General features: G+C 45.3%; 1 protein-coding gene and 1 pseudogene across 2 annotated transcripts, besides 2 other annotated features; both read left to right on the forward strand.

Moving 5' to 3' along the window:
* Positions 1,500 to 18,334, forward strand: ZNF844 (zinc finger protein 844). 2 transcript variants are annotated; one of them, NM_001136501.3, is made up of 4 exons: positions 1,500 to 1,645; positions 10,800 to 10,926; positions 11,130 to 11,190; positions 12,081 to 18,334. In NM_001136501.3, the coding sequence occupies exons 1-4, from the start codon at positions 1,643 to 1,645 to the stop codon at positions 13,888 to 13,890; spliced, it is 2,001 nt and encodes a 666-aa protein (NP_001129973.1). In that variant the 5' UTR covers positions 1,500 to 1,642; the 3' UTR covers positions 13,891 to 18,334. The 2 variants fall into 2 exon arrangements, 1 of the variants encoding a protein (NP_001129973.1); NR_134326.2 differs by lacking the exon at positions 11,130 to 11,190.
* Positions 1,585 to 1,674: an enhancer, noted in NCBI's record as "active region_14043". NCBI's record gives its function as "activates an Ori minimal core promoter by ATAC-STARR-seq in GM12878 lymphoblastoid cells {active_cell/tissue: GM12878}" and the evidence as "EXISTENCE:reporter gene assay evidence [ECO:0000049][PMID:35858748]".
* Positions 1,765 to 1,944: a silencer, noted in NCBI's record as "silent region_10141". NCBI's record gives its function as "represses an Ori minimal core promoter by ATAC-STARR-seq in GM12878 lymphoblastoid cells {active_cell/tissue: GM12878}" and the evidence as "EXISTENCE:reporter gene assay evidence [ECO:0000049][PMID:35858748]".
* RNA5SP466 (RNA, 5S ribosomal pseudogene 466) lies at positions 6,933 to 7,040 on the forward strand (annotated as a pseudogene).
* Positions 18,335 to 27,664: the final 9,330 nt, after the last annotated feature.

A 27,664-nucleotide genomic window follows, 5' to 3' on the forward strand; every position in this document is an offset into this window, starting at 1 on the left:
TCGGTCTCCCAAAGTGCTGGGATTACAGGTGTGAGCCACATCGCCCGGCCAGTCTTGATAAATTCTTTTACCCTTGCGCCACTGGCCCAGATAGTAGCCACTCACCCACAACATAGATGAAGACTCCCACAGAGAGAATGGATGCAAAATGCTTCTTTTAAGAATTTCTGGCCGGGCACGGTTGCTCACGCCTGTAATCCCAGCACTTTGGGAGGCCGAGACGGGCGGATCACGAGGTCAGGAGATCGAGACCATCGTGGCTAACACGGTGAAACCCCGTCTCTACTAAAAGCACAAAAAATTAGCCAGGCATGGTGGCAGGCGCCTGTGGTCCCAGCTACTCGGGAGGCTGAGACAGGAGAATGGCGTGAACCCGGGAGGCGGAGCTTGCGGTGAGCCGAGATCGCGTCACTCACTCCAGCCTGGGCAACAGAGCAAGACACCATCTCAAAAAAAAAAAAAAAAAAAAGCAAAACCAGAATTTCTTACTTATTTTGTTTTTTGGTCTCACTCTGTTGCCCAGGCTGGAGTGTACTGGTGCAATCACAGCTCACTGCAGCCCTCGACTCCTGGGCCAAAGTGATTCTCCTGCCCTGGCCTCCTAAAGTGCTGGTATTACAGGCCCCAGCCACCTTGCCTGGCCTCTTTCCAGACTTTTTTTGTTTTTGTTTTTTTTGAGACGGAGTTTCATTCTTGTTGCCCAGGCTGGAGTCCAGTGGCATGATCTCGGCTCACTGCAACCTCCGCCTCCCAGCTTCAAGTGATTCTCCTGCCTCAGCCTCCCACATAGCTAGGATTACAGGCGTCCGCCACCACGACTGGCTAATATTTTGTATTTTAGTAGAGATGTGGTTTCACCATGTTGGCCAGGCTGGTCTCGAACTCCCGACCACAGGTGATATACCCGCCTCGGCCTCCCAAAGTGCTGAAATTACAGGCGTGAGCCGCCGCGCCCGGCTTTCCAGACTTTTAAAAGTGTCAGACTCTCAATTTCTCCCGGATCAGGGAAAGGGAAAAGGGGAGAGGGGGCATGGCTTCACTAATGGAAATACTCCATAGACGCAAATTTCACCCCCCAGAAGACAGTTGTGCAAGGGCAAAGCTGCAGCCATTCGAAATTGCCAAATAAATATATTTTGGAATAAAATATTTTAATTGCTTTCACCTCTATTAAACATAGAGTCTGGAACTCCCTGCACACACTTATGACACTGTGCAGGACGAAGAAGCAGGGACAGACCATTGACAGAGCCACTTCTAGTAATTAAGACGAGCAAGTTTGGCCGAAATGCAAATTTTCAAAGAGCAGGGCGTAGAGAGGGAACTTGACCTTGGACTGTGGCTTGAAGCGGTCAGTCCTGCTCTGCTTGGCCCTGTTACCCAGGACTTCTGCTGTCACTCAGGATGCAGGGGGCGGGGCCTGGCGCTCCACCCAATCAGAGTCGCCGGGGTGGGGCCCGGCCAACTGTTTATCCGCGGGTCACATTGCCGTTCGCCTCAGTCTTTGGCCCCTCCCGCCGGGTGAGGTTGGCACCCCGTTTTTCCTGCTCTGAGAGGGACCGGTTGCCACCGCCATACTTCTGTCGCCCTGTCGTCTGTGTTGTGACTGCTTTGGACGTGGGAGTCACCTGAAAGCCAGGAAATGGTGAGTGTGAGCCCCCGCTGGGAGTCCCGAGACTTGGGGGAGGGTAGGCGGAGGCTGGTTGGAACTGGCTGGAACCGGCTGTGCCGGGACCCGGACCTCCCCGCGGCGACTCGAGGTCTGGGGCCCGAGCCCCGCTGGCGCAGCTCGGCCTTCGGTCCATTCGGCCGCCGGGTGCGGCTGGGCCGGCAGCCGGGACCCCTGGGCGCCCTGTCTCGTCGCCGCGCGGCGACTGCGGCCCCAGCCCGGGAGCCCTCTCTGGACAGCTCCGCGCCCGCAGCCCGGAGCCTCTCCATATTGTGCGGGGCCACGGGAGGGTCATGGGGGCAATCCCGCCTTGGGTGTGGGGCTCGTGCGGGAGGAGCTGCGCTGTGAGGCCCTCAGTGCCCCCTTTCTCCTGTTAAAACTTAAACAGGCCCGGTGCTGGGAATAGAGGCGTGAGCCACCGCGCCTGGCCTAGCGTGGAGAACTTGTGACAGCGGATAAATGTTTTCCCTGCTGTCTGTGGCTTAGAGCTTGGCAACTGCTGTCGTGTTTTTGTTCACATCATGATCAATGTGTACTAGATGCTTTGTTGTTGTAATCGCCTGAGGGGTTCTTCCTGCCTGTGCTGCAAAAAGAAAGACCAGGGCATTGCAGTAAAGAAAATGTTTGACACGAGATGGACCACGCAACGCCGAAGACGGAGACAGAGTTAGCACTCAAATCAGTCTCCCCGAAGGCTTATAGTTAGGGATTTTTCTTTAATATTTTTTTCTTACAATTTTTTTTTTTTTTTTTAAGACAGAGTCTCGCTCTTTTTTGCCCAGGCTGGAGTGCAATGACACGATCTGGGCTCAGTGCAACCTCTGCCTCCCGGATTCAAGCGATTCTTCTGCTCAGCTTCCCTAGTAGCTGGGGTTACAGGCACGCCACCACGCCCTGCTGATTTCTGTATTTTCAGTAAAGACGGGGTTTCACCGTGTTGGCCAAGGTGGTCTTGAACTCCTGACCTCAGGTGATCCGCCCGCATCGGCCTCCTAAAGGGCTAGGATTACAGGCGTGAGCCACCTGGCCCGGCTAAAAATTGTTTTTTAAACAAGGTCTCACTCTGTCGCCCAGGTTGGAGTGCATGGCGCGATCACGGCTCACTGCATCCTGGACCCACCTGAGCAGCAGCTCAGGTGATTGTGCTGCCTCACCCTCCCGAGTAGCTGGGACTACAGGCGCAGGCGGCTAATTTTTGTATTTTTGGTAGAGATGGGGTTTCGCCATGTTGCCCAGGCTGGTCTTGAACTCCTGGGCTCAAGCGATCTGCTCACCTCGGCCCCCCAAAGTGCTGGGTTTACAGGTGTGAGCCACCGAACTCGGCCAGGGGTTTTTCAAAGGCAGAATCGGGGAAGAGGTGGTGGGAAATGGTCCTCCTGAGTGCTGAGTTGCTTATAGAGGAGCAGGGTTGGTGGGCCTGAGTGGAGCCATGGGTGTCAGACAAGCAAAAAACCTGAAAACACTTATCTGCAGAAGTATCTTGGGACCAGTCTATACCATAGCAAAATTCAGGCTCCTCATCGCTCCCCACTCTGTTCCCCCCGCCCCGACTCATGGTTTTTCATTAGCTTTAGGAAGGCAGTGTTTAAGGAAGAGCTATTATCATTTAAACTATAACATAAATGTCTTCTTTTTTTTTTTTTTTTTTTTTTTTGTTGTTGTTGTTGACGGAGGCTCCCTCTGTCGCCCAGACTGGAGTGCAGTGACGCGATCTCGGCTCACTGCAAGCTCTGCCTCCCGGGTTCACGCCATTCTCCTGCCTCAGCCTCCGGAGTAGCTGGGACTACAGGCGCCTGCCACCAAGCCCGGCTAATTTTTTGTGTTTTTAGTAGAGACGGGGTTTCAACGTGTTAGCCAGGATGGTCTGGATTTCCTGACCTCATGATCCGCCCACCTCGGCCTCCCAAAGTGCTGGGATTACAGGCGTGAGCCACCTCGCCCGGCCAAATGTCTTCTAAAGTTAGCTCAGCCTAAGCCTAGGAGTAATTAAGGCAGCTTGAAAGGTAAAGACAAGAGAAGCAGTTGGCTAGATCTCTTTGACTGCCATAATTTTTTCAGTGTTACAGTTTTTGCAAAAGTGGTTTCATTATCATGGAAATAGTAATAAAATAATATTGTCAACTTAAAAATAATGAGATTTCCATAAAAAATTAGCTGGGTGTGGTGGTACGCTCCTGTAGTCCCAGCTACTCCGGAGGCTGAGGCAGGAGAATCACTTGAACCCGGGAGGTGGAGTTTGCAGTGAGCTGAGATCGCGCCACTGCACTCCAGCTTGGGCTACAGAGTGAGACTCCCTCTCAAGTAAAATAATAATAATAATGAGATTTCCCTGGAGGCCAGTCAGTCAAGGCTGCACCGAACCGTGATCACACCACTGCACTCCAGTCTGGGTGACAGAGTGAGACCCTGTCTCAAAAATAAGAAAATTAGGCCGGGTGCAGTGGCTTACGCCTGTAATCCCAGCGCTTTGGGAGGCCGGGTCGGGCAATCACCTGAGAAGTTCGAGACCAGGCTGGCTAACATGGTGAAACCCCGTCTCTACTAAAAATATAAAAATTAGCCAGGTGTGATGGTGGTGCATCTATAATCCCAGCTACTGGGGAGGCTGAGGCAGGGGAATTGCTTGCACCTGGGAGGCGGAGGTTGCAGTGAGCTGAGACCACGCCATTGCACTATAGCTTGGGCAACAAGAGTGAAACTCTGTCTCAAAAAAAAAAAAAAAAAAAAAAAAAAAGGCCGGGCGCGGTGGCTCACGCCTGTAATCCCAGCACTTTGGGAGGCCGAGGTGGGTGGATCACGAGGTCAGGAGATTGAGACCAGCCTGGCACACACAGTGGAACTCCGTCTCTACTAAAAATACAAAAAATTAGCCGGGCGTGGTAGTGGGCACCTGTAGTCCCAGCTATCAGAGAGGCTGAGGCAGGAGACGTGAACCCAGGAGGTGGAGCTTGCAGTGAGCCGAGATCGCGCCACTGCACTCCAGCCTGGGCCACAGAGCGAGACTCTGTCTCAAAAAAAAGAAAGAAAGAAAGAAAGAAAGAAAGAAGGAAAGAAGGAAAGAAGGAAGGAAGGAAGGAAGGAAGGAAAGAAAATTAAAAATTAATTTAAAAATAGCCAGGCATAGTGCCTCACACCTACATCCTAGCACTTTAGGAGGCCAAGGTGGGTGGGCGAGGGGTTGTGGGATCCTTTGAGCTCAGGAGTTTGAGACCAGTCTGGGTAACATGGTAGAACCTCATCTTAACAAACTGCTTAAAAAATAGCCAGGCATGATGGTATGTGTCTGTAGTACCCAGCCACTTGGGAGGCTGAAGTGGGAGGATGGCTTGAGCTGAGAGGTGGAGGCTGCAGTGAGGCATGATCATGCCACTGGACTTCAGCCTGGGCGACAGAGCAAGAAACTGTCTCAAAAAATAAAAATAGAGATTCAAAAAATATGGTTAAAGGCTGGGTGCGGTGGCTCACGCCTGTAAACCCAGCACCTTGGGAGGCTGAGGCGGGCAGATCATGAGGTCAGGAGTTCGAGACCAGCCTGACCAACATGGTGAAACCCCGTCTCTATTAAAAAAATATATACAAAAATTAGCCGGGCATGGTGGTGGGCGCTTGTAATCCCAGCTACTCAGGAGGCTGAGGCAGGAGAATTGCTTGAAACCAGAAGGCGGAGGTTGTAGTGAGCCAAGATCGTGCCACTGCACTCCAGCCTGGGCAACAAGAGTGAAACTCCGTCTCAAAAAAAATAAAAAATAAAATAATTTAAAGTTCTAATGGCTTCAGGTTGGAATTATTGACTTCCACAAATGTGTGTATTGTCTGAAATGATTAGATACTTTTGCTTTCCATTTTGTGGTACGAAATGCAAATGCCTTATAATTTCCTTTCCATGTGTAAACCTGAACCTGAGTTTGAGGGATTTTGCTAGATTCTTCAAACACTGGGTATTTTCTCATTGAATCAGACCTGAGCCCAGTGACTGCAAGCTAAGGTCAATCAGAAGCCTGCAAAGAGGTCATTGAAGGCTCACTTGTTTCTTGCTGGGGAGCCTCTCCTGCAGTGTCCCAGCTGCTCACACTGACCCAGCTGCTCACACTGACCATGGGAGGAGCCCTTTATTCTGAGAGAATCTCAGAGCCCTGGAAAACTGAGGATCCACAGGCAGATGCAGCGGGTCAGCGATGCCTTTCTGAGGCTAGTTGTCCTAAGGTTGTTTCTAAACATTTTTAATGAAACAGATGTGGATTTAGGTAAGGAATGACTTTTCTTTTTATTCTTTTATTCCTTTTTTTTTTTTTTTTTTTTTGAGACCAAGTCTTGCTCTGTCACCCAGGCTGGAATGCAGTGGTGTGATCTCGGCTCACTGCAACCTCTGCCTCCTGGGTTCAAGCAATTCTCCTGTCTCAGCCTCCTGAGTAGCTGGGATTACAGGCGCCCAGCACCATGCCCGGCTAATTTTTTGTATTGTTAGTAGAGATAGGGTTTCACCATGTTGGTCAGGCTGGTCTCAAACTCCTGACCTCAGGTGATCCACCCACCTTGGCCTCCCAAAGTGCTGGAATTAACAGGGGTGAGCCATCGCGCCCAGCCAGGAATGACTTTATTCTAAAGGAGAATTGAAATAAGGAAAAGGGAGAAAGTATAAGATCTGTAAGCATCTCAAAGTTAGCCCAAAAAGGAATTTTTTTTTTTTTTACAGAGAGGAGAAAACAAGGTTAGGAAGAAGGTGAGAGTGGGAGGTCAGGATACAATTTCATTCGTTAATAATTTGTATTTTAGGCCAGGTGCGGTGGCTCACACCTATAATCCTAGCACTTTGGGAGGCCGAGGTGGGTGGATCACCTGAGGTCAGGAATTTGATACTAGCCTGACCAACATGGTGAAACCCCGTCTCTACTAAAAATACAAAAATTAGCCAGGCGTGGTGGCACGTGCCTGTAGTCCCAGCTACTCAGGAGGCTGAGGTAGGAGAATCGCTTGAACCCAGGAGGCGGAGGTTGCGGAGAGCCAAGTTTGCGCCAACTGCACTGTAGCCTGGACAACAGTGAGACTCCGTCTCAAAAAAAAAAAAAAAAAAAGAGGCCGGGCGCGGTGGCTCATGCCTGTAATCCCAGCTCGCAGGGAGGCAAGAGGCGGGAGGATAGCTTGAGCCCAGGAGTTCGAGACCTGCCTGGGCAATATAATGAGACCCCGTTCTCCACAAAAAGGAAAAAAAAAAAAAGACAAAAATAAAAATAAGCGTAAAAAAAAAAAAAAAAGAAACTGAAGCATGTGTGGTCATGCCACGCTGAACACATCTATTCTCTGTAGCTAAGCAGGGTTGGGCCTGGTTAGTAAATGTATAGAAAATGCCTAGGAATACTGGCTGTTTTATGCTTAAAAACAAAAAAAGAAAGGATTTCACAAGATAATTCACCAAATGGAAGAAAAACTTCTATATTGAATATCTGGTCCATCTTCTTCTTCACATAGGATGGGGGATGAATTGGTAGCCAGCACTCTGAGGCATCCTGGCCCATTACTGCAGGAGGTGAACTCTACCCTGTAGTCCTCTCTGGCAGTGGTGCAACCACAGTCTCCAATCTCATCCTGTTTATAGGGTGACAACAAGAAGTGGTCATCAGGAGAGAAATCTGACCTGGTGTTTTGGATGTTTGAGTAGGAGGTACTCCCAAGAAATCCATCTTCCTCCCCACCAGAAGAGAACTTCTTATCACTAATGCATTGCAGACATATGAATTAGGGTCTCAAGTCTAAGTCTTTATTCCTTGTAAAGAGAGATTACACTGAAAACTTGGTAAAAATTTCAAGGAAGGTTTTATTCAGCACAATTGCAATATGTGTTGAATAAAGCCTTATTTTTTGCCTATATGTTATAGGACAATTTAATATGGGAAAGAAATTGAACTCAACCTGAATGCATCAACAAGACAATTATATCTAAAGAGCAAGGTACCGTAGAGGATGGAACTTGGTGAGGTGTCAAGAGTTGGGGAAGAGAATATTAATAAATTATCATAGATGAGGGAAACAACTTGATTAGATATCAAGTTGGGGGGCATTCTCTCTAAACTCTCTTATTAGGATTTAGCTATAACTGGGCTCTGCAGGACAAACACAAAAGCTAGTCAGGAAGTGGGCTCCGAGGAGCCTCACTGAAGTATGATCAAGGAAGGAGTCCTTGAGATCCTCCCAGCCTAGTTCTTGCTAGGGCTGATGATAAATCCTTAAGTTTCTGGTTTCCTCCCCACGTTCCAGAACACTCCCTCATTTCCCCTTTCCACTGGACATCATTATCAATCATGTGTCCCCCATGATACATGTGAAACTGCTGCAGTATTTTAATTGCTTACCATTTTTTTCCACAAAGCAATAAGTGGTGGGTATATTCAACCCATTTTCCATGTGCCCCGAGAATACTCTTGTCTCTAATCCTAATGTAACATCATATACGTTTTTGTTATATTAGGATTAGAAACAAGTTCTGTTTAGAAATTTTATTTTCACATTGAAAGTCAATCAGATTTGCTTCAGCTTTAAAGAGTATGCTTGTGTAAAATTCAATGAATGCTGGCAGCAAGCTGCACTTTTTTTTCTAAATGGGAAATGGGTTAAAAATGTATTACTTTATGAATACTGTTCATGAGAGGAAAGCACTCAATAACCACTAAAAACTACATTATATAAATCCTTGTGCCTGATGACTCCTGGTCCACTGACGTTTTCATGAGCTTCTTGGCCCTTTTCATATATCTTGCAGGAATGTCATTCAGATACTTTCCCTATCTTTCAATCAATTAGGTTTTTTTTTTTTTTTTACTTGGTACAATAATTTATTATTGTAAAAAAATTAACATTTATTAGCTTTAGGAATTTTACATGTACTGTTGAGTTAGTTTGTCAAATCTATATAACTCGTCTAAGATGAATAATACTGTATTTTTGTGACTGGCCTTTTGCAATCAGTATAGAATCCTGAATTTTTTTTCTTTTTTTTTTTTTTGTTTGTTTGAGATGGAGTCTCACTCTCTCACACAGCCTGGAGTGCAGTGGCATGATCTTGGCTCACTGCAACCTCTGCCTCCTGGGTTCAAGCTGTTCTCTGCCTCAGCCTCCCAAGTAGCTGGGATTCCAGGCATCCACCACCATGCCCAGCTAATTTTTGTATTTTTAGTAGAGATGGGGTTTCACCATCTAGGCCAGGCTGGTCTTGAACTCCTGACCTCGTGATCCACTCTGCCTCGGCCTCCCAAAGTGCTGGGATTACGGGCATGAGCCACTGCATCCAGCTGAATCCTGAATTTTCATGCTTTTTGTAGCATGGGACAGAAAGTTATTTTGTAAGACTAAATACTATCCCATTGTAAGTACATGCATACCACGTTTTCTTTATCCATTTAGCCATCAGTGGACATTTGGATTGATCCATCTCTTGGCTATTGTGAACAGTGGTTTTCAAATATTTCTTCAAAGATCCAACTTTCAATTTATATGAATTGAATATAAATAGACCCAGAAATGGGTTGCTGGAAGAAAATTTTTTTTTTTTTTGCTAGTTTTTCAGGCACCACCATACTGTTTTCCATAAAGATTGAGCCATTTTGCAATCCTTTGGTCAGAGCACATGGGTTCCAATTTCTCAACGTTTTTTCCAAACTTTATATTTGAGGTGGTTTGATTTTTCTTTTTTCTTTTTCTTTTTTTTTGAGATAAAGTCTCAGTGTTGTTGCCCAGGCTGAAGTGCAATGGCGCGATCTACGCTCACTGCAACCTCCGCCTCCCAGCTTCAAGCAATTCTCTGGCCCCAGCCTCCTGAGTAGCTAGGATTACAGGCACCCACCACCATGCCTGGCTAATTTTTTGTATTTTTAGTAGAGACAGGGTTTCACCATGTTGACCAGGCTGGTCTTGAGCTCCTGACCTCAGGTGATCCACCCACCTCGGCCTCCCAAAGTGCTGGGATTACAGGCATGAGCCACCGCGCCTGGCCTTGATTTTTCTTTTCTTTTTAGTTGAATGTAAGAATTCATTATATTTTCTGAATATTGAGACTTTTCCAGATATATGACTTTCCAATATTTGCTCCAGCATCATGGGGTGCCTTTTCCATCTGTTTATGGTGTCCCCTCATAGACAGAACTTTTAAATTTTGATAAATATTTGCCTTTTTGTTAAGAGTGGGTGCACTGGAGTTTTTATCCCTGAACTTTGTCTCCATTCAGCCTTCAGCATTTCATCAATTACAATTTAAGTTTTCCTACCACAGTCTGCTTTTTTTTTTTGAGACAGAGTTTCGCTTTTGTTGCCCAGGCTGGAGTGCAATGGTGCGATCTCAGCTCACCGCAACCTCCGCCTGCCAGGTTAAAGCAATTCTCCTGCCTCAGCCTCCCGAGTACCTGGGATTACAGGCATACACCACCACGCCCAGCTAATTTTGTATTTTTAGTAGAGACAGGGTTTCTCCATGTTGAGGCTGGTCTCGAACTCCTGATCTCAAGCGATCCGCACGCCTCAGCCTTCCAAAGTCCTGGGATTACAGGTGTGAGCCACCGCGCCCGGCCCACAGTACTGTTTTTCACAAAATTTCTATTCATGAGTTTTTTATTTAGATAGTTCTGCCTCTCTTATCAGTTGGGTTGGTTGAACCCCTTGCAAAATCCAGTTTTTTTTTTTTGCTTTTGTTGTCTGCTGCTTCAATCAGAATAAAATCCCCCTTCCAGGTAATCTTCAATGGTTAAACTTTGTGAACAGGCATTTTCAAGGATATATAGCCTCAGGACTGCTAATGTTAACATTTTCTGCAGGTGAATTTAGAGGACTGTGTTATGACAGGTGCTATAGACCCATGCTACAAACAGACATTAAGAGCAGCCCAGGCAGCGCACCTTTCTCCCTGGATTCCATGAAAAGACACATTTTTCTATTCTGCTGTTCGTTTATTGCTTAGTTCTGTTCCAGCATCAGAATTGCTTTAGAGAAGAAAGTAAGTGTAGACAGAGAGTAATGGGTCAGATGACCAAGAAATAGAATAAATGTTTGGAGTCCACAGCATCATGGGAACTTCTTAGGAAGAGGGTATAGACCCCCAGTGCTGTCAGTCTCACCCATCCTCCTCTATACATGTGGGATGTTTCAGGACTTGGTGGCTTTCGAGGATGTGGCTGTGAACTTCACCCAGGAGGAGTGGTCTTTGCTGGATCCTTCCCAGAAGAATCTCTACAGAGAAGTGATGCAGGAAACCTTGAGGAATCTGGCCTCCATAGGTAAGAATGACAGTATTACGTCCCCCAGTGAATGAGACAAGTGTTTCTAGCTCATTAATGCTATTCCTTGATTTGGAATATGGACAGGCAATACTTTGATGAATAAATGAGGTATGGCTCTAATGTCCCGTGAACATAGAATCTAATCATTTTTTCATAATTTTATTTTAATTCAGGATTCTTTTTCTGATTCTGTATTTTAGGAGAAAAATGGAAAGACCAGAACATTGAAGATCAGTACAAAAATCCCAGGAATAATCTAAGGTGATTTAAACTCACGAGACAAAGCAATGTCTCTCTAGAAAATCTCAGAATGCGAGAATATGTTAAGAAGAAGCAAATAAAGGAAATATGCCTAGCATTAAATTTATTTACTCTTAAAATATTCACTCTAAAAACCTACATTTAAATGTGATCTAGGCTGGGCACAGTGGCTCACACCTGTAATTTCAACTGTTTGGGAGTTGGAGGTGGGAGGATTGCTAGAGGCCTGGAGTTTGAGAAGAGCCTGAGCAAAATGGCGAGACTTCATCTCAAACAAAGAACTAGCTATACATTGTGGCATATACCTGTAGTCCTAGCTACATCGAAGGCTGAGGCAGGAAGATCACTTGAGTCCAGGAGTTCAAGGGTGCTGTGAACCATGATGATGCCACTGCACTCCAGCCTGGGCTATATGGTGACCCTGACTCAAGAAAATGATATAGAAGTTTAGTATTTGTAAAATAGTCTACATGGAAATATTATGAAGAATTCTCATATGGTGTTTTTCTTTTTTAAACATATGATTTTTAAAAATAATACGTATAGATAGGCCATCTTATAGCCATATGGTCCAGTCACCTTCCAACAATTTAGACAGGGTAGAAAGCCTACACTTTCCTGGATAATGTTGAAAGTGCAAGTTCAGTGGGGAGGGATAGCATTAGGAGATATACCTAATGCTAAATGACGAGTTAATGGGTGCAGCACACCAAATGGGACATGTATACATATGTAACAAACCTGCACGTTGTGCACATGTACCCTAAAACTTAAAGTATATTAATAATAAAATAAAATAAAATAAAATAAAATGCAAGTGTAATCCTTGTTAATAAACATCAAATCACTTATAAACAAACCTTCAATAATGTGTTTCTCATTTTTCACAGAAGTCTTCTGGGAGAGAGAGTTGATGAAAATACAGAAGAAAATCATTGTGGAGAAACTTCTAGCCAGATTCCAGATGACACACTGAACAAAAAAACTTCTCCTGGAGTAAAATCATGTGAAAGCAGTGTGTGTGGAGAAGTCTTCGTGGGTCATTCTTCCCTTAATAGGCACATTAGAGCTGACACTGCACACAAGCCGTCTGAGTATCAGGAATATGGACAGGAGCCATATAAGTGTCAACAACGTAAGAAAGCCTTCAGATGTCACCCCTCCTTTCAAATGCAAGAAAAGGCTCACACTGGAGAAAAACTCTATGATTGTAAAGAATGTGGAAAAACCTTCATATCCCATTCAAGCATTCAAAGACACATGATAATGCACAATGGAGATGGAACTTATAAATGTAAGTTTTGTGGGAAAGCCTGCCCTTGTCTCAGCATATATCTTATACATGAACGAGTTCACACTGGAGAGAAACCATATAAATGTAAACAATGTGGTAAAGCCTTTAGTTATTCAACTTCCCTTCAAATACATGAAAGAACTCACACTGGAGAGAAGCCTTATGAATGTAAGGAATGTGGGAAAGCATTCGGTAGTCCCAATTCCCTTTATGAACATAGAAGAACTCACACTGGAGAGAAGCCATATGAATGCAAACAATGTGGAAAAGCCTTCAGATGGTTCCATTCCTTTCAAATACATGAAAGAACTCACAGTGAGGAGAAGGCTTATGAATGTACCAAATGTGGGAAAGCATTCAAGTGTCCCAGTTATCTTTGTAGACATGAAGTGACCCACTCTGGGAAAAAGCCCTGTGAATGTAAACAATGTGGGAAAGCATTATCTTATCTTAACTTTCAAAGACACATGAAAATGCACACTAGAATGAGACCTTATAAATGTAAGACTGTGGAAAAGCCTTTGATTCTCCCAGTTCGTTTTGAAGACATGAAAGAACTCACACTGGAGAGAAACCTTATGAATGCAAGCACTGTGGTAAAGCCTTCAATCGTTCCAGTTCCTTTCACTATCATGAAAGGACTCACACTGGAGAGAAACCCTATGAATGTAAGCAGTGTAGTAAAGCCTTCATTTCTTCCACTTCCTTTCGATATCATGAAAGGACTCACACTGGAGAGAAACCGTATGAGTGTAAGCAATGTGGGAAAGCCTTCAGATCTGCCTCACACCTTCAAATGCATGGAAGGACTCACACTCAAGAGAAACCCTATGAATGTAAGCAGTGTGGTAAAGCCTTCATTTTTTCCACTTCCTTTCGATATCATGAAAGGACTCACACTGGAGAGAAACCCTATGAGTGTAAGCAATGTGGGAAAGCCTTCACATCTGCCTCACACCTTCAAATGCATGAAAGGACTCACACTGGAAAGCAACTGTATGAATCTAAACAATGTGAAAAAACCTTTGGATCTGTCAGAAACCTTCAAATTCATGAAAAGACACACCCTGGAGAGAAACCCTATAAGGAATATGGAAAAGCATTCAACAATTTCTCTTCCTTTCAAATACATGCAACAATGCACAGAGGACAGAATGCCTATGAATGTAAAGAGTGTGACAAAGCATTCATATCTGCCAAGATCCTTCGAGTACATGCAAGAACACACCCTGGAGAGAAACCCTATGAATGTAAGGAATGCGGAAAAGCGTTCAATTATTTTTCTTCTTTGCGTATACACAAAAGGATGCACACTGGAGAGAAACCATATTAATGTAAGGATTGTGGGAAAGCATTCAGTTTGCCTGGTTCCTTTCGTAGACATAAAAGGGCTCACACTGGAGTGAAACCGTATGAATGCAAGGAATGTGGCAAAGCCTTCACTTCTTCTGGTTCCTTTCAGTGTCATAAAAGGATTCACACTGGAGAGAAACCCTATGAGTGTAAGCAGTGTGGTAAAGCCTTCATTTCTTCCACTGCCATTCGTAGACATGAAAGGACTCACACTGGAGAGAAACCCTATGAGTGTAAGCAATGTGGAAAAGCCTTTATTTCTTTCAGTTCCATTCAGTACCATGAAAGGACTCACACTGGAGAGAAACAGTATGAGTGTAAGCAGTGTGGTAAAGCCTTCATGTCTTCTACTGCATTTCAGTATCATGAAAAGACCCACACCAGAGAGAAACACTATGAATGTAAGCAGTGTGGGAAAGCCTTCATTTCTTCCGGTAGCCTTCGATATCATGAAAGGACTCACACTGGAGAGAAACCCTATGAATGTAAGCAGTGTGGTAAAGCCTTCAGATCTGCCACTCAACTTCAGATGCATAGAAAGATTCACACTGGCGAGAAACCCTATGAATGTAAGCAATGTGGGAAAGCCTACAGATCTGTCTCACAACTTCTGGTGCATGAAAGGACTCACACTGTAGAGCAACCCTATGAATATAAGCAATATGGGAAAGCCTTCAGATTTGCTAAGAACCTTCAAATACAGACAATGAATGTAAACAATTAAATGTTTATAGCAGCTGCATACTAACATGTTATTCTGTATTTTTTTTTTCTTTTTGAGACAGAGTCTCGCTCTGTCACCCAGGCTGGAGTGCAGTGGCGTGATCTCAGCTCACTGCAAGCTCCACCTCCTGGGTTCACGCCATTCTCCTGCCTCAGTCTCCTGAGTAGCTGGGACTACAGGTGCCTGCCACCACACCCGGCTGATTTTTTGTATTTTTTAGTAGAGACGGAGTTTCATCGTGTTAGCCAGGATGGTCTCAATCTCCTGACCTCGTGATCTGCCCGCCTCAGTCTCCCAAAGTGCTGGGATTACAGGTATGAGCCACCGTGCCCGGCCGTTATTCTCTATTTTTTGTTGTTGTTTGAGATGAGTCTTGTTCTGTTGCCCAGGCTGGAGTGCAGTGGCATGATCTCGCCTCCGGGTTCAAGCAATTCTCCTGCCTCAGGCTCCTGAGGAAAAAGATTCCTAGGATTACAGGTGTGCACCACCACACTTGGCTAATTTTTATATTTTTAGTAGAGATGAGGTCTCACCCTATTGGCCACACTGGTCTTGAACTCCTGACCTGAAGTGATCCACCTGCCTTAGCCTCCCAAAGTGCTGGGATGACAGGCATGAGCCACTGCACCCAGCTGTTATTCTCTATTTAATTAATTGAGAAGCCATAATAAAATATCTCAGTGCCATCATGCATTAGATCAAGTTTATGTTACCACATTATTTTTTGGACATTGTGAGTCAATATTACCAAGTGGACAAAATCCCAGGCATCTTTTTCCTCATGTAAATTTTAATTTTCATGCTTATATACTTAGAACATTTATCTTGGTCCTAATTTTTTGTTCATTCATAATACCAAAAGTTATCTCATGTTCTTCAGAGTGACTTTGTGCCATATCCCACAGTGGCATACCTGTCTTCAAAGAGGGTATAATTCACAAAAGGACTTACACTAGAGGAAAACCCTATGAATGTAAGCTGCGTGGGAAAGCATTTTCTGATCTGAGTGGCATTGAAACCCACATGGTATTGCACATGACAGATAGGCCTCTCTCCCCGTTCATTTCTTTTTTTTTGAGACGGAGTCTTGCTCTGTCGCTGAGGCTGAGAACAGTGGTTCCATCTCTGTTCACTGCCACCTCCACCTCCTGGGTTCAAGTGATTCTCCTGCCCCAGCCTCCCAAGTAGCTGGGATTACAGGTGACCGCCACCACGCCCAGCTAATTTTTGTATTTTTAGTAGAGACGGGGCTTCACTATGTTGGCCAGGTTCGTCTCGAACTCCTGACCTCAGGTGATCCACCTGCCTCAGCCTCCCAAAGTGCTGTGCATACAGGCATGAGCCACTGCACCCGGCCTTCTCCCCATTCATTTTCAAAGACATAAAAGGATGCACAATAAAGAGAGACCCTCTGAATGCAAGCAATATGGAAAAGCATTCCATTGTATCAGATCCTTTTGTAGCCATGAAAGAACTCGCTGAAGAGAAACCCTGTAAATGAAGGGAATGTGAAAAGCCTTCATTCCTGAAATGAAGCAATTCATACTATTAATATATGAGAGAAATCCTATTATAAGAAATTGATTGCTGTGCACGGTAGCTTACCTGTAATTCCAGCACTTCCAGAGGCTAAGGCAGGTGGATCACTTGAGGTCAGGAGTTCAATACCAGCCTGGGCAACATAGTGAAACCCTGTCTCTACCAAAAATACAAAAATTAGCCAGGCATGGTGGCGCGTGCCTGTAGTCCCAGCTACTCAGGAGGCTGAGGCAGGAGAATCACTTGAACCCAGGAGCTGGATGTTGCAGTGACCCGAGATTACGCCACTGTACCCCAGCAGAGTGAGACTCCATCTGAAAAAAAAAGCAAGGGGCCGGCACGGTGGTTCACGCCTGTAATCCCAGCACTTTGGGAGACCAAGGCAGGCAGATCACCTGAGGTCAGGAGTTCGAGACCAGCCTGGCTAACATGGCAAAACCCCATCGCTACTAAAAATACAAAAAATTAGATGGGCATGGTGGCACATGCCTGTAATCCCAGCTACATGGGAGACTGAGGCAGGAGAATTGCTTGAACCTGGGAGGCGGAGGTTGCAGTGAGCCAAGATCACAGCATTGCACTTCAGCCTGGGCAACAAGAGTGAAACTCCATCTCAAAAAAAAAAAAAAAAAAAATTGAGGAAGCATTCAGTTGTCCCACTTCCTTTCAAACAGGAAGAGACACTAGAGAGAAACCCTCTGAGATAACTGACTGTTGAATTAAGAAGAGAGGCCTGGCCGGACACAGTGGCTCACGCCTGTAATCCCAGCACTTTGGGAGGCTGAGGTGGGCGGATCACGAGGTCAGGAGATCAAGACCATCCTGGCTGACACGGTGAAACCCCGTCTCTACTAAAAAATACAAAAAAACTAGCTGGGCGTGGTGGTGGGCGCCTGTAGTCCCAGCTACTCGGGAGGCTGAAGCAGGAGAATGGCGTGAATCCAGGAGGCAGAGCTTGCAGTGAACCGAGATCGCGCCACTGCACTCCAGCGGCGACAGAGCAAGACTCCGTCTCAAAAAAAAAAAAAAAAAAAAGAGAAGTCTGACAGGACAATAAAATTTAGAAATGGAGTTGGAGGATGTCATAATACAATTCACCAGTGTCCTATCTTACATGCAATTTCAAAGGCAGACAAGAGGAAGTCATCAGTCACATTTTAGAGGCACCAAACAGGTGCCACATCCATACAGGCTGACTCCCTGCTCCCAGCCCATTTTTTCCTGAATCTTTGGCTTGCCAATCAAGAATGTCCTCAAAATTTGCTCAGAGGTGTGGGCCTTTGGGTAAAGGTGTCTTCAGAAGCTCCACATTAAAGATCCATCAGTGGTTAAGGGCAAATTGAAGAGAAATAAAGACTAAGATATTTTTTTAAAAGACTGAAAGAATAGAACAATGAAAAAGCCCCATCTGTAATACAGTTTTTCTTTTTCTTTTTTTTTGAGACAAGGTCTCTCTCTGTCACCCAGGCTGGAGTAGAGTGGCATTATCCTGGCTCATTGCAATCTGGGCCTCCTGGTTTCAAGTGATTCTGGTGTCTCAGCCACCTGAGTAGTCAGGATTACAGGTGCACACCACCACGCATGGCTAAATTTTTGTATTTTTAGTAGAGATGGGGTTTCACCATGTTGAGCAAGCTGGTCTTAAACTCCTGACCTCAAGTGATCCGTCTGTCTTGGCCTTTCAAAATGCTGGGATTATAGGCGTGATCCACTGTGCCTGGCCTGGTGTTTCTTTAGGTATAATGTCTTTACCAGAGAGCTAATGCAGACTGTCATGGGTGAGATTGTTCTCTGATGTTCAATTCCCCTACTTTGTATATTGAGTCAGTATGAGATGCGATTTGTTTGGCAAGCACCTTTGTTCCTGCTGTTACTGACCCTTATCTTGTAGCCTCACAGCTACTATGCTTTTGTCCAGTCCAACTAGATAGGAGCTTCTTCCTCTGCTGCAGTGACTGGTCTCACCCAGGGCTTTCAGGAAGGTGAGAATAAGCACCTTCCTCCTCCCAGGAAGTTTTGAGTTTCCTGTGTTTCATTTCTGAATGTAATGTCTCCATTTATTTTCAATTATGTTTGATTATATTTGATTAAAAACAATAATTTTTTTGGCAACCAAGATTTCTGTACATGTGTCATAGAAATAGTTGAACTTTTCCACAACTGTATACTGACAAACATTATTCTTTCTTAATTAATTCAGTAGCTATATTAAAATATGTATTAGATCAAGTTCATAATGTTGCCAAGTTATTGGTTGGACATTGTGAGTCAATATTACCATGTGAATAGAATGCCAGGCATGCTTTTTCTCATGTAAAAAAATTTTACTTTTTATACTCACTTATATCCTTAAATTTTTTTGTTGTTTGTTTGTTTGTTTTTTTTGAGACGGAGTCTCACTCTGTCGCCCAGGCTGGAGTGCAGTGGCATGATCTCGGCTCACTGCAAGCTCTGCCTCCCGGGTTCACGCCATTCTCCTGCCTCAGCCTCCCAAGTAGCTGGGACTACAGTTGCCTGCCACCACGCCCGGCTAATTTTTTTGTATATTTTTTTTAGTAGAGACAGGGTTTCACCGTGTTAGCCAGGAAGGTCTCAATCTCCTGACCTTGTGATCCACCCACCTCGCCCTCCCAAAGTGCTGGGATTACAGGCGTGAGCTACCGCGCCTGGCTATCCTTAAATTTTTTATCTTAGTCCTAACTTTTCTTTTTTTCTTTTTCTTTTTCTTTTTTTTTTTTTTTGAGACGCAGTCTCGCTCTGTCGCGCAGGCTTGAGTGCAGTGGTGCGATCTCCACTCACTGCAACCTCTGCCTCCTGGGTTCAAGCGATTCTCCTGCCTCAGCCTCCCAAGTAGCTGGGGTGACAGGCGCCGGTCACCACACCCGGCTAATTTTTGTATTTTTAGTAGAGATGGGGTTTCACCATGTTGGTCAGGCTGGTTTAGAATTCTTGACCTTGTGACCCACCTGCCTTAGCCTCCCAAAGTGCTGGGATTACATGGGTAAGCCACCACGCCCAGCCTCTTAGTCCTAACTTTTCATTCATTCATTGTACCAAAAGTTAACTCAATGTTCTCAGTGACGTCTTGCCAAAGACCACCAGTACCATACTTGTTGTCAAAGAGGGTGTAATATAGTAATAAATATGATCAAAAGCCATAAATGACAGTGAGATATATGAGAATTACAAATGAGTCACATTACTGAAAAAAATTTGCTCAGTTTGATAATTTGAAATATGTTTTCTTCTATACTATTTTGAGACATGGTTACAGAGTGTCCTTGTTTTGTCTTGATCCGTCATGGTCACTGAAGAGCATTGTCTCACATTGCAGGTGTATGACATGTGTCTTTCCAATGGCATAAGACTTGGCCTTGTGGCCGGGCGTGGTGGCTCATGCCTATAATCCCAGCACTTTGGAAGGCTGAGGCGGGTGGATCACCTGAGGTTGGGAGTTCGAGACCAGTCTGACCAACATGGAAAAACCCCGTCTCTACTGAAAACGCAAAAATTAGTCGGGTATAGTGGCACATGCCTGTAATCCCAGCTACTTGGGAGGCTGAGGCAGAAGAATCACTTGAACCCAAGAGGTGGAGGTTGCAGTGAACTGAGGTCACGCCATTGCACTCCAGACTGGGTAACAAGAGCAAAACACCGTCTCAAAAAGCAAACAAAGAAAAGACTTGGCCTTGTGGTGAGAGGAGGTAGCTCCTGGACTTCTAGACCCATTTTTGCCTTATCTTTTTTTTTTTTTTTTTTGAACTACTGAGCAGCTGGGATTACAGGCACTCGCCACTACACCCAGCTAACTTTTATATTTTTAGTAAAGACAGGGTTTCACTATGTTGGTCAGGCTGGTCTTAGACTCCTGACCTCAGGTAATCCACTCACCTCAGCCTCCCGAAGTGGTGGGATTACAGGCGTGAGCCACCACGCCTGGCCAAAAAATATGCATATTTTAAATATGCATATTTTATTTTTGTATTTTTTCATGAAGGAAGGTCAAATAACAAAACAGGAAAAATCCTTTTTAAGATAAGTGAACTTTAAATTTTCCTCAAAAAAACTTATAATTCACACCTGACCCAACATTTCATCATCCAGTTTTTGTTTTGTTTTGTTTTTTTGAGATGGAGTTTCGCTTTTGTTGCCCAGGCTGGAGTGCAATGCCACGATGTTGGCTCACCACAACCTCCACCTCCCACGTTCAAGCGATTCTCTTGCATCAGCCTCCTGAGTAGCTGGGATAACATGTCTGTACCACCACACCTGGCTAATTTTGTATTTTTAGTAGAGATGAGGTTTCACCATGTTGGTCAGGCTGGTCTCAAATTCCCAACCTCAAGTAATCCGCCCACTTCAGCCTCCCAAAGTGCTGGGATTACAGGCATGAGCCATCGTGCCCAGCCTATCATCCAGTTTGTTTGCAGTATCACAATGTTTTATTCAGAAACATTTACTAAATTTGGGCCAGACACGGTGGTTGTTCAGGCTAGGGTATAATGGTGGGATCATAGCTCACTGCATCCTTAACTCTTGGGCTCAAGTGATTCTCTCGCCTCAGCCTCCAACATATGTGGGACTACAAGCATACACCACCATGCCCAGGTAACTGTTTTGTTTTTTTTTTTAAGATGGAGTCTACACTGGCACAGTCTCTGCTCACTGCAACCTCCACCTTCTGGATTCAAGCGATTCTCCTGCCTCAGCCTCCCAAGTAGCTGGGATTACAGGAAGCTGCCACGCCACCATGCCTGGCTCATTTTTGTATTTTTAGTAGAGATGAGGTTTCACCATGTTGGCCAGGATGGTCTCAAACTCCTAGCTTCAAGTGATCCATCCACCTCGGCCTCCCAAATTACTGGGATTACAGGCGTGAGCCACCATGTCCTGCCAGATTTTAAAAATTTTCTGTGGAGATGTGATCTAACTGTGGTCCCAGGCTGCTCTTTAACTTTTAGCCTCAAGCAGGTCTCCTCCCTCAGCCTCACAGTGCTAGGATTATAGGCTTGAGCCATTTCAAACAGCCAAATTTAACTTTTATTGTGGTGTTGAAAGGAATTTTGTATGTACTTTCTTCTTTTTTTCTTTTTTTTTTTTTTTGAGACGGAGTCTGGCTCTCTCACCCAGGCTATAGTGCAGTGGTAAGATCTTGGCTCACTGCAGCCTCCATCTCCCAGGTTCATGTGATTCTCCTGCCTCAGCCTCCCAAGTAGCTGGGATACAGGTGGCCAACACGACACCTGGCTAATTTTTCTATTTTTAGTAAAGACATGGTTTCACCATGTTGGCCAGGCTGGTCTCGAACTCCTGACCTCAAGTGATACACCCATCTGGGCTTCACAAATTGTTGGGATTACTGGCATAAGCCACCACACCTGGCATTTGTATATGCCTTTCTTGTATTACTTTGACCATGGTAGGACATATACAATAGGCAAATGATATAAAAGGCCAAGGCGGGCAGATCACAAGGTCAGGAGTTCGAGACCAGCCTGGCCAATATGGTGAAACCCCGTCTCTACTAAAGATACAAAATTAGCCGGGCGTGGTGGTGGGCGCCTGTAATCCCAGCTACTCGGGAGGCTGAAGCAGGAGAAACCCTTGAACCTGGGAGGTAGAGGTTGCAGTGAGCCAAGATCATGCCGGTGCACTCCAGCTTGGGAGACAGAGCGAGACTCCATCTAAAAAAAAAAAAAGGTTAAATTTAATTTTTGACAATCACTTTAACACACAACTTAGGTTTATATGGAAAGAGAACTATGACCACTTGTGAACAAGTAACTGGTAAGTAAGATGGAATTATGGCTTCTGTGTGATACTCTATTGTTAGGCAAGCACAAGCTCCTTATAAAAGCCCTCATATATGTAAATGCATCAAATATCATGTGACTACTTGGTTTCCTAAGGACAGTTTATTATTCCTTTATCCCAGTATAATTTTGCATAGTCATCACTCTCTTTGTTATGGGTATCTATACTTAAAGAATAAATATATATGAGTTATCTACACATGAGCTAAATGAGGTTTTGTAAATTGAATGATATTTTTAGGAAAGTGTTGGACTTTGTCAATTACCATGCCTGATATCAATGTGTCTTACCTGACTATATCACTCCTAAAAATTTCACTGCGGGCCGTGGTCCCTGGATTTCCTGAGGGTTGATTGCCCATCCCCATTCCTGTAGACGAGCACACAATGGTATAAGACTTTCCTGTAACACATTACAGTCTTCAGAGGTTAACGTGATGTCATCAATATAATGAAACCAGGGCCAGGTCAGATGGCTCATGCCTGTAGTCCCAGTGACTCAAGAGGCTGATGCATGAGAATCACTTCAGCCCAGGTGTTCAAGGCTGTAGCGAGGTATGACTGCATCACTGCACTCTAGCCTGAGTGACACAGCAAGACCCACCCTGTCAAAATAAATTAGATAGATAGATAAAATAATAAATAATGAAATAAAAAAATATATAAAATTAAACCATGAAAGATGACAGGAATGGGAACAAAGACAAGCCTCTAGCCAACATTCTGTGACAAATCCTAGGACTTTGGAGATAACCCTGGAGCAACCCTTGAATGGCAGCCGACTCACCAGGGCATCTTTCTGGACTTCCATGGATTAAAACACACTCCACCATAGCATCTACTAATGTGACAGTCTTCTCTCTATTTTGGGGGACCAGTAAGTGGAGAGCTGAACATGAACCCTTTTATTCCAGTAGCAGCCTGGCAGGGTAAAAGCAAATTGGTCTTGTGATTATTTAGAGAGAGGAATGCTGAAAAAAACATTAGCTAAATCTAACGCACTGTGATGCATCCCCAGCAGGGACACTATGTGATCAGCTACCTGAGTAATAGGAACTACAGGATGTATGGTTGGGGGTTACCTTGGTCAATTCCTGGTAATCTGCAGTCATCCACCAGGTACTGTTTGGTTTGTGTTCAGGCCAGAGAGACTGTTAAAATGAGTTTGAGCTGGGTGGATAATGTGTCCACTTACCAGTGCCTCAATAGTTGCACTTATTTCTTTTTTTTTTTGAGACGGAGTCTCATTCTGTCGCCCAGGCTGGCGTGCAGTGGTGTGATCCCGGCTCACTGCAAGCTCCACCTCCCGGGTTCACGCCATTCTCCTGCCTCACCCTCCCGAGTAGCGGGGACTACATGCGCCCACCACCGCACGTGGCTAATTTTTTTTTTTTTTTTTTTGTATTTTTAGTAGAGACGGGGTTTCACCGTGTTAGCCAGGATGGTCTCGATCTCCTGACCTCGTGATTCACCCACCTCGGCCTCCCAAAGTGCTGGGATTACAGGTGTGAGCCACCACACCCGGCCTAGTTGTACTTATTTCATCATGTCCTCCACAGCCCCCCCGCCCAAAATAATTTGTACTATTATTTATTTATTTATTTATTTATTTATTTATTTTTGAGATGGAATCTTGCTCTGTCGCCCAGACTGGAGTGCAGTGGTGGTATCTCGGCTCACTGCAATCTCCTCCTCCCAGGTTCAAGCTATCCGCCTCCTGGGTTCAAGCTATCAGCCTCCCGAGTACCTGGGACTACAGATGTGCGCCACCACACCCAGCTAATTTTTGTATTTTTAGTAGAGATGGGGTTTTGCCATGTTGGCCAGGCTGGTCTCGAACTCCTGACCTCAGGCAATCCACCCACCTCAGCATCCCAAAGTGCTGGGATTACAGGCGTGAGTCACTGAGCCCAGCCTAATAATTTGTACTCTTTAAACTTGACAACTCGCCTAGGAGCAGAAAGCTGTTCAGGTTCCCATTTTGCCTGTCCTTGAGAACAGCCTTTACTACAGCACGTTCAAGCTGAATTCTCCCACTCAAGTTTGCGAAGTCTTTCCTAACAGAATATCCATGCCTAAAATGTTTTCTAAAATAGGGGTAATAAATGCCATATATGGGTTGGGGAGCTTCCCAATACCTAGATGTATTAAAGTCCTTTTTATCTGAGTCATTTGTCCTCTATAATCATCAGTGTCAGGCCACTGTTCAGGATTTGTTTCTGGATTTCCAGAGATGAAAGTACATTCCACCCTGTAATAGGATTACAGACTATTACTAAGGTAATAATCTTTTTATTTGGGGGGGCAACAAGAAATGGTGAGCTTGATATGGGACCTCTGGTTTCCACCTATTGCTTGAACATGGGGTTGACCTTGCCCCAGTCCTAATCTCTGAGCTATGGTGGAATCCACTCCTGGTAGAGTGGGACGATCAAATGAAAGATTGAGTCATCTTCCTATTCTTCCATAGAGGCAGAAGGGAAGGGATGAAACTGCAGTTTAGGCTGTAGTTTCTACCATAAGGGTACTAATAAAGTCTTAGGTTGTTTGTCTGTTTCTCTTCAGGGTGTTTCTGCCCCCAACAAATTATGCCACATTTGCTCATGGGTGACTCCTATTGGTCCCTTTCCCTATCTCCCCTTTTCTTTCTGTTGATTTTTCTTTTTTCCCTTTGTTAGCCCTTGTTGGATTACCGAGTTTACCCTGTTCCTGAGTTTCTAAATTTCTCCAAATCTGCAGTGCTTCTCCCACATCATATACACATTGTCCCACTATAGGACTCGAGAAAGATAGCAAAGGGCCATGCCATTCCTCTGGTGCACCCTGTAGCATTTTTTAAATCTGGGCAGTACAAACTGCTTTACTGGTCCCATGGAAAGCCACTCCTAGATGGCTTGCCTCCTTCCTCAACCTCCAAGAAGCCCCAGGGTTACAGAATCACCAGGTTCATATGCACACTGTGCAGTAACAGACCAATACACTGAGACAGCAAGATTTGCAGCACAGAAAGAGTTTAATGATCATGGGGTGACCCAGCAAGCAGATGAGAGGGGCCCTCAAATCCAACTCCTCAAAAAGTTCTGGGCTGGATTTTTTGTTTTTTGGACTAGTCAATTGAAGCAGTGGGAATGGAGGAGAAACAAAGACATCTGTAACTGGTTGTGATCAATTAGTTGTAAACACCACTGCACTTGGACCCACACTAGGCTGGGATTTTTAAGGGGATTGTGGCATGCAAGAGGCTGAAAAATTGAGGTGGTTGATTGAAGTACAGGCAATGAAATCATCAGGATGTGAAAACTACCTTCTTTGGTGAGTCAGCTACTACTGGGGTCCTTCAGAGCAGCTGAAGTCAGTAGTTTCACTGTTATGCAGGACCTGAAATAATATCTCAAAGGGAAAAATTAACATTTTTTAATGTTCAAGTTTTTATCTATAGAGCAGTTAAGGGGAATTATCATCTAGGGTTTACAGGATTCTAGGACGCTAGGCATCAAACAACTATGAAGGGGGCCAGGCATGGGGGCTCATGCCTGTAATCCCAGTACTTTGGGAGGCTGAGGCAAGCGAATTGCTTGATCCCAGGAGTTTGAGACTATTCTGGGTAACATAGTGAGACCCCATCTCTATTTCAAAAAAATAAAAAAAAAATTTGGCGGGGGGGTCAGAGAGCAAGCTGACCTAATAATTAATGCTGAATGTGCAGCAAGCTTTGTTTATTTCAATTTTCTCCCTCCCTCCATCATTGATTAATTTGACAAAATTTAAAGGGATGGCTTCATCAGCATTTCTTCCGTTGACTGCTAGGACGTCATCTCTTCTGGTAAATCTTCAGCAGGCCAAGCATCTCTTATGGGTAGAATGATCTAGTCCATAAGGGAATACCATCACACTGTGTCCCACAATTGGATGATCCAAGTGGTCCCGGGAATCCCCAGGTAGGATGGTTTCATTTCTTTTTTTTTTTTTTTTGAGACAGTGTTTCACTCTGTTGTCCAGCCTGGAGTGCAATGGTGCCATCTCAGCTCACTGTAACCTCCACCGCCTCCTGGGTTCAAGTGATTCTCCTGCCTCAGCCTCCCAAGTAGCTGGGATTACAGGTGCCCACCACCATGTCCAGCTAATTTTTTGTATTTTTAGTAGAGATGGGGTTTCACCATGTTGGCCAGGCTGGTCTTGAACTCCTGACCTCAGGTGATCCACCCGCCTCGGCCTCCCAAAGTGCTGGGATTACAGGTGTGAGCCACTGCGCCCGGCCTTTTTTTTTTTTTTTTTGAGACAGAGTCTTGCTCCGTCTCCCAGGCTGGAGTGCAGTGGCGCAGTCTCGGCTCACTGTAACCTCCACCTCCCAGGTTCAAGCGATTCTACTGCCTCAGCCTCTGGAGTAGCTGGGACTACAGGCGCCTACCACCACACCCGGCTAATTTTTTGTATTTTTAGTAGAGACGGGGTTTCACTGTGTTAGCCAGGATGGGCTCAATCTCCTGACCTCGTGATCCATCCACCTTGGCCTTCCAAAGTGCTGGGATTACAGGTGTGAGCCACGCCCGGCTTGGTTTCATTTTGTGGCCCAGGCTGGAGTACAGTGGCCTGATCCTAGCTCTCTGCAGCCTCGGACTACTGGGTTCAAGTGATCCTCCCACTGCAGCCTCTTGAGTAGCTTGGGACTACAGGCACAGGCCACCTTGCCAGGCTAATTTCTCTCTCTCTCTTTTTTTTTTTTTTTGAGATGGAGTTGCGCTCTTGTTGCCCAGGCTGAAGTGCAATGGCACGACCTCAGCTCACAGAAATCTCCGCCTCCCAGATTCAAGAGATTCTCCTCCCTCAGCCTCCCGAGTAGCTGGCATTACAGGTATGTGCCACTATGCCTGGCTAATTTTGTATTTTTAGTAGAGACGGGGTTTCTCCATGTTTGTCACACTGGTCTGGAACTCCCGACCTCAGGTGATCCGCCTGCCTCAGCCTCCCAAAGTGCTGTGATTACAGGCATGAGCCACCGCGCCCGACCTTCTTTTTGTTTGTTTGTTTGTTTGTTTATAGAGACAGGGTCTCACTCTTTTGCCCAGGCTGGTCTTGCTCTGGTCAGGCTGTCTCCAACTCCCAGCTTCAAGCGATCCGCTCCCCTTGGCCTCCCAAACTTCTGGGATTACAGATGTGAGCCATGGCAACTGGCCTTCCAGGTATTTATTGAAAGGTTTTGCAACCTCTGATTGTTCTGCAGCAGTATATTACCTGACAATGAGAGTCCCCTGCATCCTTTCACCCCATGTTGCAGAAGTTGCTGCGCTTTCCCCTTTTGTTTGCATAGTGGGACAAGCATGTCAATGATCCTCATCCTCCTCTTCATCAATGACTTCTTTGTCATCAGTCTTCCTCTTCATAAATTGCCAAGGAATCCAAGTTCTCACATCTCAATCGGGCTTACTTATGATAGTAGCAGCTGTCATAAGTCTGCATCAGCTCCCACAGCTCCAGGCTCCATCAAGCCTGACTCCTTTTTCTTCCCCACAGTCATTTCCCAGAAGCCCCCAGCTCTGCTTGCCAGGTGCCTTAGGCTGTACAGCTGCACTGCTGCTGAGTCCAGGCAGCTATCTGTCCCTGCAGCCCCTTCCCCAACCCATTCCCAGCCCAGCCCCACTCCACCACTGGTATCTCTAGTGTCCCTGACTGCTAGTGCCTCAGCCACCGCCGCCACTGCGATTTGGAAGTCTTTTAATGCAGTTAAATTATCTTAGTTTTTTCTCTCCCAGT

Source organism: Homo sapiens, chromosome 19, assembly GCF_000001405.40.
Source record: "Homo sapiens chromosome 19, GRCh38.p14 Primary Assembly".
In the NCBI taxonomy this organism is placed as follows: domain Eukaryota; kingdom Metazoa; phylum Chordata; class Mammalia; order Primates; family Hominidae; genus Homo; species Homo sapiens.